Consider the following 16296-nt stretch of genomic DNA (forward strand, 5'->3'; position numbering starts at 1 on the left):
TTGACTCACAGTTTCACATGGCTGGGGAGGCCTCATAATCATGGCTGAAGGTGAAAGGGAAGCAAAGTCACATCTTACATGGTGGCAGGCAAGACAGCTTGTGTAGGGGAACTCCCCTTTATAAAACTATCAGGTCTTGTGAGACTTATTCACTATCATGAGAACAGCATGGGAAACATCTGCCTCCATGATTTAATTACCTCCCACTGAGTCCCTCTCTTGACACATGGGAATTATGGGAGCTACAATTTAAGATGAGATTTGGGTGGGGACACAGCCAAACCATATCACTGGGGCAAAGTTTTTTTCTCTATGTTAAGGCATGTGTGTGTGTGCGTGTGTGTGCGTGTGTGTGTGTGTGTGTTTTCCAATGTTCTGTTCAGATCAGATTCTATCTCATTTGTAGGAATTTACTTAAAGTCATGAGTAATCAACTGATTTACATGTCCTTGTATTTTTATATTAATTCTCTTAAAGTTCCAGCCAAAATAAACACTTGGCCTGAGTCACAGTATCCAACAACTAAAAATTTATCATGTGAAAAATATTGACTCCTTATAACCTGAGGTATATCATCCACCACCCCAGTCTCTGTAATTGCAAATTTGAGGATATTTTCAGTCACTAGGCTGGAGTGCAGTGGCTCGATCTCGGCTCAGTGCAGCCACAGCCTCCTGGGTTCAAGTGATTCTCCTGCCTCAGCTTCCTGAGTAGCTGGGACTACAGGTGCGCTCCACCATGCCCAGCTAATTTTTTGTATTTTAATAGAGATGGCATTTCACCATGTTGGCCAGGATGGTCTCCATCTTCTGACCTCGTGGTCCACCCGCCTCAGCCTCCCAAAGTGCTGGGATTACAAGCATGAGCCACCATGCCCGGCCTTGCATTTCAATTCTCAGATCTATTTTCTTCTGTAATGGTGTCATTATAAACCAAATTTTCTTAAAAAGTGGTGAAGATGGCCACCTTCTGTTGCCTTTATAGCCTAACCCATTAGAAATGAATCTCCTTTGCCTGCCTCACACATCATGGGCTCCTCACTGTGTCCCTCCACAGTATAAAATTAGATGAGATTACTGGATGGACAGGCCTGAATATGGGGCTCACCTACAGTGCTGGGTGATGAGAAGAGTCTTCTTATTCAAATCCTTGAAATGACATCAGGAGTGGTTCCCAAAAAGTAAACAAGAAAGGTAGACAATTGTCTATGATAGTCTACAATAAATGTTTTCTCTCAAACAAGAAGAAAATTGTCACAAAAAAAGATTACCAAACTCAAGTTAGTTTATGAAGGTATTTTGGACAATGATTACTTTATCCTTCTACTTGCCAAAAAAAGTGAAATTATATGATTCAATTGATACAAGCAAGATTGGCTAAGAAAAAAAATAGCTACATATATGCAAGTTAAATTATGACAGAAGCAACCAAATGAACATTTCTCATTTTCTTCCACAAAAGTACTTATTTATCGATTAAAGCCAGTTGCATTTTAAAAATATGCCCTCTCATTTCTTCTGCCACATCGCTCACTCCAATCTGAGGTCCTTTTGTTACTAAGAGTTTTAATGCTGGTTTCAAGTATAAGGAAGAAAAAATTACTCCATTACCTTATTAGGGTCTCCAGTTGGGCATAAGCATTAAACTGACGTAAGATAGATTCATGGGATAAATGCATATGCACTTTATAAATTTTACATTGACATGGGAGTCCTCACAAGATAATCGAGACCCAAAGGAGCAGTTAAGAGTTGAGTTTATATACTGAATTGAACAAAAAATGGTAAATTATGAAAATGTGACAAGACAAAGGGAGTTGAGATAGGGCAGTTAATGGTGGAAAAGTAACAAGGAAGGTCAGAGTTAGTTTACAAGGTTTACAGATTTCTCTCAGTCTGTACTCCCCATTCCTGATCGTAAGAATGTTATTTTCCTTCTGTTATAAGAAGGGCAACTTCCATAGAGTGGCTTTATTTCCCTCCTTCAGGATGAAAAAGGGGAAGTCAGAGTGTCCTTCTTGCACTTCCTGTTTTTCAAGTGCCTTAGCTCAAATAATACTTATGCCAAAGTGGCATATTTTAGGTGGCATGTTCTGCCACCCTGCACAAGATATTTGCAGTCTTTGTTGTTATTGTTGTTGTTGACTACCAACTGAGACTGACTAGTTTTATTAAAAATAGATTAGTATTCACTATCATCAGGAAAGAGCTTATGGTAAGATAACTATATTAAGCATCAAATATAAAACATGGGAAAATGTTTGACAAAGCATAACATACTATTTAAGCCTTTTCAACAGTGTGAAAAGACAGATTAGGAAATTGCTTTTGAAGTGTCTTATAATGGTTGAATTAGTTCAGGAAGAGTACTCTGCTATTAGCTGTAGTGGTTTTTGACCTCAATACGCTCTTCCTCTAATAAAGGCCCACGTAAATCAACAGTACAAATGAATTTAAAGCATAAGGTGTTACAAATGTCTAACTAATGCCAGTGGTTTTCAAACACTGCTACATATTTGAATCTTCTGGGCCCAGGCCCAATTTAGGGGGATTCCTATTCAATTGATCAGGGGTATTTAAAGCTCCTCTGATAATTTTGATATAGACACAGGGATAGATGCACTAGTTTCAGTGAACGTGGTTAGGATATCCACATTTGCCAGTAACAGTGATGTCCCTTTAGAAATAGAGGCAGTAGAAGTTTGAGTAAATAAACAATGTGCTTACTAAAGTGCAATTACCTAATTTGCACTTATTTCACATTTCACAATTACCTTATTTCACATTACTTCCATTAAAACCCACAAGAAATCTTTCTGGTAATACAGTGCTGAATTATTGTATAGTTATTTTACAGAATCAATTTATTTTTAGTAAGAAGAACTGATGAAATTGTATCACTTTCTTTTCAAGGTGTGTGGGAGGGTGGGGGTGCTGAATTCAAAGAGTGCATACTCTTCAGTAAGTCAGTTCCTTCTTTAAAAGGAAATTTACTGAGCACTAGGTAAGCATGATTATAGACACTAACCTAAAAATTAGAGGTACATGGGGAAGACTAATAAAAATCCTGTTCTCATCTATCTTGAATTATTATAGTATATATAACTTTATCGTCCAAAACAGTGAACACATTTTCTTTTTATTTTTCTTACAGCACAAAACAAATGTCTGCTATATTTGAATCTGAAATTAATTCCTTTGATTTGGGGGCCACTGAGCAAAATGTCCTAGTGCTTTAAAATGACTGAAAGAAAAGTAACATGTGAGGTTAGCAAAGTAAACAGAAAGAAACCAAAGATTATTTGGAATGAAAAAGGGACATAACTATATAGATGCAAATTATATTTTTTCAATAATAAGAGAAAATCATGGGCAATATTTGCCAATAAATTTAAAGATGTAAAGTAGATAAAGTCTCAATAAAATATAAAAGATTTAATATTAAAAATAAATTAAAATCTTGAATAGTTCAAAACCATTGAAGGAATCAAATTGTTAATTATAAATATCTTCCCAAGCACCAAAAACCAAACAGACAAATCAAAAAACCACTAGACCCAGTTCATTTTAAAAGTCAAACAAAATGTTTGTGAAAATGAAAAAATTATAAGCCAATATCATTTATGAATGTGGATGCAAAAATAAAAAATATTAGGACATAGAAGCCACCAACATATAAAAGTAGACATATATAATGACAAAAGTAGGTTTACACCAGAAGTGCTAAAATAATTTAAGATTAAACAATCAACACAGTTTATTCATTACATTAACATACTAAAAGTGAAAAATATTATTACAGTAGTAGATGCAACAAAAGAGCATTCAATAGAATCAGTTATCCATATATGTTTTAAAAATTCTTAGAAAATATGAAGAGTCAGACAATGTCAACTGTAGAAGAACTAGAACAATGGAAGCTTATATTAAATTTTGGGTGAGTTGAAAATTTGTATAACCATTTTAGAAAACCATGTATTATCATGAAGATTTATAAAGTATGACCTAACAATTTCATTCCTAGAAATATACTAGATACCAGTGGTTTTTTACACTTGAAAGTGCATCAGATTCACCTGGACAGGTTGTTAAAAACTGTACCCCATTGCCCCCAGAGTTTTTGATTCAGCAGTTCTGGAGTGAGGCTGAAGAATTTGCCTATCTAACAAGTTCCCAAGTGATACCTCTGGCCAGGAGGAGAAACTTTGAGTACCATTACTATGAAGATACACTTGTATTTGTGCAACTACAGACATATGAAAAACTAGAAACAAAAAAAAAATTTCCATGAGGAGAGGAATAGATACATAAAATCCAGTGGAATCTAGTACTAGTGACAATGAATGGTCTACAGCCCATACAACAACTTGGATGAATTTATGATATAAAAAAAGAGGTTGCAGAAGAATACATACAAAAACCAATTTGTGTAATTGTCAAAGCATGCAAAACACGAATATATAGTGATATGCAGTTTTTTGATAAAACGATACAAAAAAGCAAATGGAAAATATACATATAATTGAGGAGTGTTCACCTCTGATGGGAAATGAAAGATATTGGAGCAGAGCACACAGGGTTTTAAAGAATACATCTTAAGATGAATGGTATGAAAGTAGGTATTTCTTTTTCCTTTTTTTTGGTAATACATTTTAACTCTCCTGTGTGTTATAAACTAATAAATATATTGAATATTCTATAATAAAGGAGTAATCCCTAATTAGTACTAACCTTAATTCAGACTGCTAATCTCTACTTTCATTGTCTTTAATAGCTGCTTTTATAAAACTGTCTACATAGTTCTCCACCCTAAAACAATTCTAGGGAGAGACATTTCTTCTTTATCTCATAAACGTTAGAGGATCCTTTGTGTTTTAGTCTTTAGGTCTACATTTTGTAAAATGATGATAAATTTTTACTGCCAGCTGGATAAGCTATTTCTCTGTGACCTTCCTTAGAAACTACTCTTTCAGCCAGATATGTCCAATCACCTGCTTCATTCAGTTATGAATATAATTTTATAGAAATTCAAAGCAGTAATATTTTGAACTTGGATTTAAAGTTACCTAGTCCAGTCAAATATTTGTTGCATGTATTTCCCTTGCAATGACACAAATAAATGGCTTCCTAATCTCAGACTGAAGTTCTGTCATTGTAGGAAATTGAGTAATTAATGAAAGCATTTTTAAAAATATCATTGCAAAACTAAAACAAAAATAAAAGTGTCTGGAAGAAAAATTTCCCAGACTTCTAAACTTCAAATATTAATACACGCTTTGGAAGCAGAAAGAATAAGCCTGAATTCCAAATTATGCGAAAGTTTTTCAAGTACTTGTAAGTACTTTTCATTTTTCCTCTAAGTATTCTCCCCTTCAATATGAACATCTTCAGCTCTTTTCTTGTAACACTCTCCTTTGGACACACTCAAATTTATCAGTGCTTCTCCAAGACTATGACAGCACTCAAACCCAAATACCACTTATCATTATCAGAATATAACATTTATTAATACCTGCTATCATAATTTTAATTCATTTTTGCAGAAGTATGACATTGCTAACGTGTGTTGAGGTTCTGTCAAGCTAATGTTTTTCAGTCTAATGAGCCTTCTGTTAATACACAATGTTCACCTTTAGGCATAACTAACAGTCTATGTAAAAGTTTTGTTGTAATTTTTTCTATATGTTAAGGTTTAAATTAACTTTTATCTTGTCACATTTACATTATTAATCTATTGTGTTGGGATATTTTTGGATCTCAGATATGACATCCAACATATCATTATCCCCACAAGTTTTCTATAACCCACACAAGTCATAACCTATTTTCAATATCTTCATCAAAAGACATTGAAAAAAATTGAATTAGGATCTGGAACAAAACCTTAAACCATTCCCTTCAGGTTACTATTGATATATTAGTCAACATTTTCTGGTAAGTTTGTTTAAGTAGTTACCATTAATGAAATGTTTCTTAGTTTAAATTTCATCATGTTTTCCACTAACTTATTATGAAAGATTTCAAGTGCATTATATCTATAAAGCCCTCTTGATTTACCAGTCTCAAAATCCTTTCAAAAAGTAAATAAGGATAGTCTGATATATTTCATTTTCATTTCAATGAACATCAATGGTTTTTCCTAATTATCTCTGACATTCTTAATGTCCACAAAACATCTGTGAGCTAATCTGTATAAAAATTTTGCATCAGATCAGTAACAACTTCATATGTCTTTAGTATCCCCTTCTCTGGGATGAATATTTTATTTCTGTTTTCATTGCTTCAGTACCCCTCTCATTATTTTCCTGGTAGCAGAATCACATTATTTTGTGATAGAATCCATAGAATGTCTTCTCAGTGGGATTATTCTGAAAATGGTCCTGTGACTCTGGCCGGAGTGATTGGCTTAAGAATGGGTAGACCACCAAACCTTGCTCAATACCAAAACTTTTTTGATGAAACGATTATCTTTTTCTCTTGAGGTAACTTAGGTGAAAGCATGCACTTCCCTATTCTGGTCATTGAGGTGAAAATAATGGTGCTTGTCTTTTTCAGGGGGCAGTACTGACTATAACCAGATCACTATCTAGAGATAAGCAGGGCTGAGAGATGGAGAAATAGGCCTCTGATGTCATTATTTGTGTCCCCATATATCTTAAATCAGCTGCATATTTAAGTTTCTCAGTGGTGTGAAGCAACAAATTCTAAAGATAGGAGTCGGTTAATGTATTCTCAAACCTATCCAAAACTGTTTTAGGTGCTGTAGTGACTGAAGACATCCTTAATGAATAATAGAGTTTTGCTTTTGAAAATCAGCATTTGTCTACTTCCTCAGTGTACAGGCAAGTCTTCTGATTTCTCATAGATATTGTTTTGTATGTTGGCTCAAAAATAAAGTGAAACATTGAGAAATTTGCATATGTTAGTGGACATTTCACTTCTTTCATGTTTCCTACTGTGCTAAAATTATCTTTGTGTCTTTCATTACTCTGCTTCTTCCTTTCCTCTATACTCACCAAAATGTGTTTAATAATTTTAGGGCACATTTACAGATAATTGGCTTTGATTTCCCCAGTTTTTAGAGGAAATGTATTTAAAACAGTTTTTAAAAACTACTATTTGCATTTTAAAAATAAACTATTAAGAAATAATCTTAAAAAAAGTTTTATATATTTTTCTACTACTGTACAAAGGCATTAAAATAAAATTGAACATGTTTGTTGCATGATATGTGAACAGAAAACATATTTATATGTTACTTCACATTATCAATCACCATAATTTATTTTTTTAATATATGGTCATTTGATTTGTCTTTCTCATATGAACACTGAGAAGATACACCACAATTTGGAGACATAAGGTCTCCCTCTAGACTTTCTTTGATTGAGGCTGCTTCCTGCAGTACCCAAGATCATTTTGAAAAAAATTGAGCTTCTAGGCATTCTAATGAGAACACCATTTGGGAAATGAACCAATGAGCTGCTGCAATTTAGAGGGTGCTATAAGTCTGACAATGGTACTAGGAGAGGTACAAAGTTCTCGAATTAATCTCAGTGGACTAATTATGGTCACTTAAGTGTCAGTGTTGTTAACTTTTTTCATTGCAATGGAAAGAGCTAACTCCTTTGCTTTTCTAGGCCAGCAGAACACCCACCATAGCAGGAGGTGGCATTCATTTGAAATAATGTGCTGTAGGGAGAGCCTTTATGAACTAGATGTGCAGAAACTTGAATATTATTTTGATTAATTGGTTAATTGAAGTGCTGCTACTATTGTCCTTAAAATTAGAATGAAAGTAATCGTTATAGTGCTGTCAGCTAAAAAGTGGCTGGACTCCAACCGTGAAGTTTATAGAATTCTGTATTTTTATCTATAAAATATTGTCCACCGGCAGGGAAGACAGTTTACCTTAATAAGGTAATAAATATTTTTGAGGAAATATTTCTGTATCTTATAATACTACCTGGTATTAAAACCCAAAGAACATCCTAATAAAATAGTGAGCAAATGATAAATCTTTACTTTATTTCAAAGGATACTTGGAAGTTTTGTGTTTCAAACAGTATTCATCACTACCTTCTTTGTTGGCTGATGCTAGGCTAAAATGACACCAATAATTAGAATAAAATTGCATTGTGAAACTAACTAAAACACTCTACTGCGATTATTCGGTTTAGTACTTCCTTCTTCATACAAATACAATAAAGGTCATAATTGGTAGGGAAACATATCAATAGGTTATATGTCATAATAAAAAGATAACATAAGGAATTTTGACAAAACTAACAGTGAAATGTGATTTTTCTTTAGATACAAAAAGAGAAAGAAACACACTACATCTCACAAAAGAACTTTCATTTTGATTTCACATTCACATCCTCCACCTACAAAATGCTGAAATCACAACTACATTACCACAAAAAAATAAATTTTATAAGTTCACATAAACCATTTGGAAATGTGCATCCTTATGCAAACTTGTCATTATAATTTTGTATAAAATATTACCTCTTTCAAAGCATATTCGATGAAGTGGTCACATTCTAATATTCTATTAACCAGAACAGTTTAATCCCAATTATGTTTTTTAAAAAAAATCTTTAATTAAATAAAGGAGGAGTCTGGAATCACAAAACAATCTTTGCTTTGTTACTCAAAATTACTGCCTCAGAGTTCTCTAATTTTATACTAGATTAGAATAATCAGAATTCTACAGAGTGCCTTTTCGGTCATTCATCATTCATGAGTATAATGGAAAAAAATGTCTGTAATTATAATCAGTTAGATCATTAAAATCCTAAATTTTGATATCAAAAGAACAACACTTTAAAGAATTCTTTATACAAGATACAAAAGTGTATTTTTGACTACTTATTCCATGTGTGATGAGGCTGATGAGTTAGTTTTCCTTCCAAATTTCAATACTGGGATACTAAAAAAGAGAGAAAATTGATGGCCCTTAGAGATTCACTCAGCAACTACTATAACTGCTGTCAAATCGATCAACCAATTAATCATAACTGTGAATAAAATATAAGAAATGTACTCAAAATAATTAAGTATCTCTAAAGTTAGTTAGAGATATATATGTGTGACACACATATAGTATGGATTGTATGTATGCATATGTATATTACACACATATAATATCCATGTATATATAAAGATACATGAATAATAAAATTTTAAAGTTAAGTAATAGAAACATAAAATTTAGGATAGGAGAGAAACGGGATTATAAGAAAGGGGAACACAGGGATCTTCAATGGCTTTGGCAATGAAATCTTTCTAAGTGGAGTGGTGGGTTCAGGTCACTATCTTACACTTTATAAATTTCTTTGGGTGAACATTCTATATTAGAGAAGGTAATTATAAAGTAACTAGATTGATAGGCTTAATAGCAGTACATAAACAGCCTGTACTGTTAGGCATTCTGAAATAATTTAAAAATTTTTAAATTTCAAAGACTAAAGCAACTAATATTTTCTTATTTACATGTCTGTACATTGTAAACTAGTCTTGTGGTAGCTGGTAGAATCATAACAGAACAAGTCAAAACAAGCAAGCACATTTCAACCCTTTGTTTATTTCATATCCACTCACATTGCTACTACTAAAGAAAATCTCTATGCTAAGCTGAAAGTCACTATGGCTGCACTGTACACTTTGCCTGTTGTAGGAGTAGGACCTCAAAGCCTATTGAGAAAAAGCACGGATGTATATATTAAACATCTACTATAGGGAAGAAATGAAGAATTAGGAAAAATAAATTAATCTACCACATTACTAAAGAAAAAATTAGTGTTCTGGAAGTTATCAGAAAAAGAAAAAAAAGTGGAAGTATTAAGAGAAGAGTTGTTTAACTAGATTTCCAATTATTCCAATATAACTTTACATGCAAATAGGGATATTTGTTAAAATAATAAAAATATAATTTATTATTTAAAAACTATAATTGTTTTACCATTAAAACGTATGGGAAAATATTATAAAACTATAATTATAATATACCAAAAACATACACAACATATAGTATACGTATGTTTTATATAATTATATATGTATATATTTATTAAGCACATAAATAGAATAAGAAAATGTAATCTAAGTAACAAAAGATAAAACAGAAAATTTAAAAAAATGAAAAAACAAACATTAAACATCTAATGTTTAAAAACATTAGATGATATAAAAAGTGTAACTATAACACCAGTTACAATTAAAAATGAATTAAACTATAATTCAAAGTACAGAAATTTTATTTGTAAAAACATAATATATAATATATTGTCTACCTTTAAAATAAAATACTATAGAGAGTTTGAAAGCAGAAGTTAAAAAATTCAAGACAAGTAATCAAAATAAATCATTATTATGTTAATAATAGTCAAAATTAAAATGATAAAAACAGAAAGAATGTATTCTTTAAAAAAACAGAGATTAACAAGATATAATTAACAGCAATTTTCATATGCTTAATAATTTAGCCTTAGCTATACAAAACTACTCTCAGAAATATTGAAAGAAATAAATATTTCAAAACCTGTAGTTACTGAATTTAACATATTTATTTTAAAATATGCATTTTAAAGTTATTTATTTGTTTGTTGTTTGTGAAACAAATAACACATCACATAACATTTATCATCTTAACCATTTTTAAGTGTGCAGTACAGTAGTGTGAACTATACAGGCATACCTCAGAGAGATTGTAGGCTCAGTTCCAGACTACCACAATAAAGCAAATATTGAAATAAAGTGAGTCACACAAATGTGTTGACTTCCCAGTACACATAAAGGTTATGTTTATACGATACAGTAGTCTAGCAAGTGCGCAATTGCATTATGTCTAGAAAATGTACATACCTTAATTAAAAATACTTTATTGCTAAAAATTGCTAACAATCATCAGAACTTTCAGCAAATCATCATCTTTTGGCAGGTGGAAGGCGTTGCCTTGATGTTGATGGTTGCTGACTGATCAATGTGGTGGTTACTAAAGGTTGGAATGGCTGTGGCAATTTCTTACAATAAAACAATGAAATTTGCTGCACTGATTGACTCTCCTTTTTATGAAAGATTTCTATGTAGCATGTGATGTTGTTTGATAGCATTTTACCCACAGCAGAATTTTTTTCAAAATTGGAGTCTATGTTCTCAAACTCTGCCGCTGCTTTATTAACTAAGTTTCTGTAGTATTCTAAATCTTTTGTCATCATTTCAACAATGTTCATAACATCCTCACCAGGAGTAGATTTCATCTTAAGAAACCACTTTCTTTGTTTATCCATAAAAAGTAGGTCCTTATTTGTTGCAGTTTTATCAGAAGATTGCCAGAATTTCATGACTTCTTTAGGATCCACTTCTAATTCTAGTTATCTTGCTATTTCTACAACATTTGCAGTGACTTCCTCCACTGAAGTCTTAAACTCCTCAAAGTCACTCATAAGAGTTGGAATGAACATCTTTCAAACTCTTGTTAATGTTAATATTTTGACCTCTCCCATGAATCACAAATGTTCTTAATGGCAGCTAGAATAGTAAATTTTTTCCAGAAAATTTTCAATTTATTTTGCCCAAATTTATCAAATGAATCACTCGATCTATGGCCACTAGAGCCTTACAAAATGTATCTATTAATAAGAATTGAAAGTGAAAATTACTGGTTGAACCATGGCTTCAGAATGGATGTTGTGTTATCAGGCATGAAAAAAACGTTAAGCTCCTTGTACATCTCCATCAGAGCTCTTAAGTGACCGTGTACATTGTCAATGAGCAGTGATATTTTGAAAAGAGTCTTTATCTGAGCAGTAGGTCTCAACAGTAGGTTTAAGATATTCACTAAATCATGCCATAAACAGATGTGCTGTCATATAGACTTTGTTTCTCCATTTATTGAGCCCAGGCAGAGTAGATTTAACATAATTCTTAAAGACCCTGGGTTGTAACAGTAAATTAGTATTGGCTTCCACTTAAAGTCATCAGCCACACTAGCCCCTAACAAAGTCAGCCTGTCCTTCGAAGCCAGACATTGATTTCTCCTTTCTAGCTATGAAAGTCTTAGATTATGAAAGTCTTAGAAGTATTTTTCCTATGGAAGGCTATTTTGTATACTTTGGAAATCTGTTGTTTCATATAGCCACCTTCATCAATTATCATAGCTAGATCTTCTGGATTACTCAATGCACCTTCTACATCAGCATTTACTGTTTCATCTTGCCCTTTTCTGTTATAGCTGCTTTTCTTAAACCTCATGAACCAACCTTTGCTAGCTTTGAACTTTTCTTCTAAACCTCTCTCAGTCTTCAATAATTGAAGAGAGTTAGAGTCTTGCTTTGAAGTAGGCTTTGACTGATGGGAAATGTTGTGGCTGGTTTGATCTTCTGTCCACTAAAACTTTCTCTACGTCAGCAATAAAACTAGTTTGCTTTCTTATCATTTTTCTGTTCACTGGAGTAGCACTTTTAATTTCCTTCAAGAACTTTTTCTTTGCATTCACAATTGACCGTTTGGTGCAAGAGACCTAACTCTCAGCTTATCTTAGTTTCCAACATGCTTTCCTCACTAATTAGACATTTCTAGCTCTTTAGTGAGAAACACGTAACTCTTCTTTTCACTTAAACATTTAGAGGCCATTGTAGGGTTAGCAAATGGCCTATTTTCAATATTGTTGTGTCTCAGAGGAGAGCTGAGGAGAGAGAGAGATGGGAGGATGGCTGGTTGGTGGAGTAGTCAGAACACACACGCAACATTTATTGATTAAGTTTGCTGCTTATGTACATGCAGCTTGTGATACCCCTAAAACAATTATGATAGTAACATCAAAGATCAATGACCAAAGACCACCACAACAGATGATAATAATAACTAAAAAGTTTAAAATATTGTAAGGATTACCAAAATGTAATATAGGGACACAAAATGAGCACATAGTGCTGACTTGATACCACAAAGGGCTATCATGGGTGAAAGACAAACGCTTTTTTTCTTTTTTGTAACAATTTTAATGCAGCTGTTTGTGGCTTTTCATTTGCCTAGGGTGCTGCAACCTCTTAATTGGTTCCAGAGTTCTCATAAAGGCTTTTTGGATTATATATTCCTGTTAAGTCAGTGTCTTTGTAGGGGAAAATTGTCTGGGGATTTTTTTTTTTTTTTCTCTGATGGAGTCTCCCTCTGTTGCCCAGACTGGAGTGCAATGGTGTGACCTCCACCTCCTGGGTTTGAGCAATTCTCCTGCCTCAGCCTCCCAAGTAGCAGGGATTACAGGCGCCTGCCACCACACCTGGCTAATTTTTGTATTTTTAACAGAGACGGGGTTTCACCATGTTGGGTAGGCTGGTCTCAAACTCTTGACTTCAAGTGATCTTCCCGCCTTGGCCTCCCAGAGTACTGGGATTACAGTCATGAGTCACAACACCCAGCCTGTCTGGGGATTTTTATTCAACTGTTCTGCTGATGTCACTCAGAATACATATTACTTTTAAGAACATGTGGAATAATGATAGAAACTTATTGTGCGTTAGGCCACAAAAGAAAGCTTCAATAAATTTCAAAGAATTTACAAATGGACTGAGTTCTTAGACATTTGTGCGTGTGTGTGTGTGTTTATGATGAAATAATAGTAGCCTTAAAAAATATTTTGTTTCAGGAAACTAAAAAAAGCACTCTAAAAAATAACCCATGGTTACACCGGAAAGTCTCAAGGAAATTTAAAAATTATCAGTGTTAAATATAAATAAAAGTACTTGTCAAAATATGTGGAGTTTATTTAAGGTTGTCATTACAAAAACACTTTTAATGTAAAGAAGCACAAGATAGCCTAAATGCAAGCCTATGTGTCCATTTTAGTTAGAAAATAATCACCTGATTAAAACCAAACATAATAATAACAAACTAGTAAAGAACTTAGTAATGAGAATATCAGAACTTAATGAAATATAAAGCGATTAAAATATGAGAGAAAAGCAACATAATAAATGAGAGTCAATATAATATGACCATTACTTTTAATGGCAAAAACTGCCATTACTTTTGTATCAATCTAATAAAAGGGAGACTAAGTATAACAAATATAGAGGTAATTGGCTAAACCTCAAGACAAGAACTTCTGGAACACTTGTACACCTAGCATACTAGGAAGGAATAATGTGCTGTAGCTGGGATAGCCATCCTGTCACTTTATTTATTTATTTATTTATTTTTTTTTTAGATAGCCTGGATTTAAAATGCAACCCTCCATTCTTCAATTTTAGTTTTTGGACCTTACTAGCTTGTTACCTATAGCACGAACTTTAATCTCCCTATGGCTCCATTTTCTCATCTGTAAAATTCTCTCTCTGTTTGTACATGGGCTTCAGAAAGAGACAGAGGAAGAGAGAGAGAGAGAGAGAATTAGGTTGAGTCAATGCCCTTAAGCATTTATGACTAATTGTCAAACGCTGATGCCCAATAAATACTGAATTTTAATTGATTGCTCTGGTGGAAGACACTTTGTTCCTTTAGTAAGAAGAATGTGTTTGAGCCTTAGATCAGCTACTTGCAAGGTATATGACTTCAGCAAGTCTGTGAGACTTTCTTTCATAATCCATTAAGTGGCAATATTAATTTCTACATAATAGGAGTTGTTTTAAAGCGATAATGTATGTGGAAGTGCTTAATAAGAAATCTCAGTTTTATAATTAGGTTTAGTGACTGATTCTTCTTAATCCTCCTTTAAGGATTCTGGGACTTATTGTATGAAAACAAAATAGGAATTCTAACAAGTTTTTCTGGAGGGGATGCGAATAGTAGCATTATAAAAACTAATGCCCAAGAAGAAAAATAACTTAGCCAGGTAGATAAATTCTTTAGCATAATTTGTTAAGTTTTCACTTATTATGTCATTTTATTCTACTTTGAAAGATTATGCTGAAATAACATAATATTGATACTAAAACTGGGTTATTAAAAGGAATAAAACAAGACTAGTGTATAGTACTATTTGTCACACAATTTTCTGAAATGTTAACTATGATAATATCAAATGTATTGATTTGTAGTCCATAATCCAGTTATATAGGTAACAATTTATATTTTTGGAAATTGAGTTTTGTTTGCAAATAAAATCAAGGTTAGGGAATAAAAATTTGATGATGTCAGACAGATTAGATTGAACTTTTCATATACCTTAAAAATACAAAAGAATTAGAAAAACAATTTGTTTATGTGGCACAATTTCAGAACACAAGACATATAATGCTCGGGAGACTAGAAATTTGATTTACTCAATATTAAAAATATTGAGTAAATTTTCACTAAAGAAGTCCTAGCCAAGAGATTTCAGTTTTTTAAAAATTGAAACAATAAAAGTAAAAATGCTTGAGCTTATTGTATAGAAATATATTTTAGTTTTTAGAAGTGGTGAATTTTTCAGAAAGGTCGAAGTTCGCACCAGTTATGTCTCTGCTTCTCTCTGGGGAACTCCATTTACCTGAATCTAACTATCTCAACACATTCACCTGTGTATGTCTTCAAACCATCTGAAGTGCCATGGGTGTATTAAGTGGAAGAGTAAACATTGTGTTTTTTATTGCATTGTATATTTTAATGATTTGAATATGTGATTGGAGTTTCTGCTTGCATTACCAGATAAGGAAGAGTCAGTAAAGCAACACACATTAAGACAGTGAAGTAGGGCCGGGCCGGTGGCTCACGCCTGTAATCCCAGCACTTTGGGAGGCAGAGGCTGGTGGATCACGAGGTCAGGAGATCGAGACCATCCTGACTAACACGGTGAAACCCTGTATCTACTAAAAATATAAAAAATTAGCCGGGCTTGGTGGTGGGCGCCTGTAGTCCCAGCTACTCAAGGGGATGAGGCAGGAGAATGTCGTGAACCCGGGAGGTGGAGCTTGCAGTGAGCCGAGATCGCGCCACTGCACTCCAGCCTGGGCGACAGAGCGAGACTCGGTCTCAAAAAAAAAAAAAAAAAAAAAAAAGACAGTGAAGTACTTTATATTCCAAGTTCTGTACTTTTATTAAAGTCATTACACTAATAATATTGACTCGGTTTAAGTAATGAAATGTATCGTAGAATGCATACTGCTTATCTGTGTGTAGGCTATAGTTTAGCATATTTTAACCCCAAATTTATTTTAATTCAGAAAGTAATAGCCAAAATGTCTCATTTAATTTACCTTACTCCAAAGGAATAATGGCTATGTTGCTCTCGAATCATAGAAACAAGTTAGCTGATTGTTCAAAAGTACATAAACAATTTTCAGGAATGCTTCATTGCATAGTAACATTAGAAATC

This window comes from Homo sapiens, chromosome 1 (assembly GCF_000001405.40).
Source record: "Homo sapiens chromosome 1, GRCh38.p14 Primary Assembly".
Taxonomy (NCBI): Eukaryota; Metazoa; Chordata; class Mammalia; order Primates; family Hominidae; genus Homo; species Homo sapiens.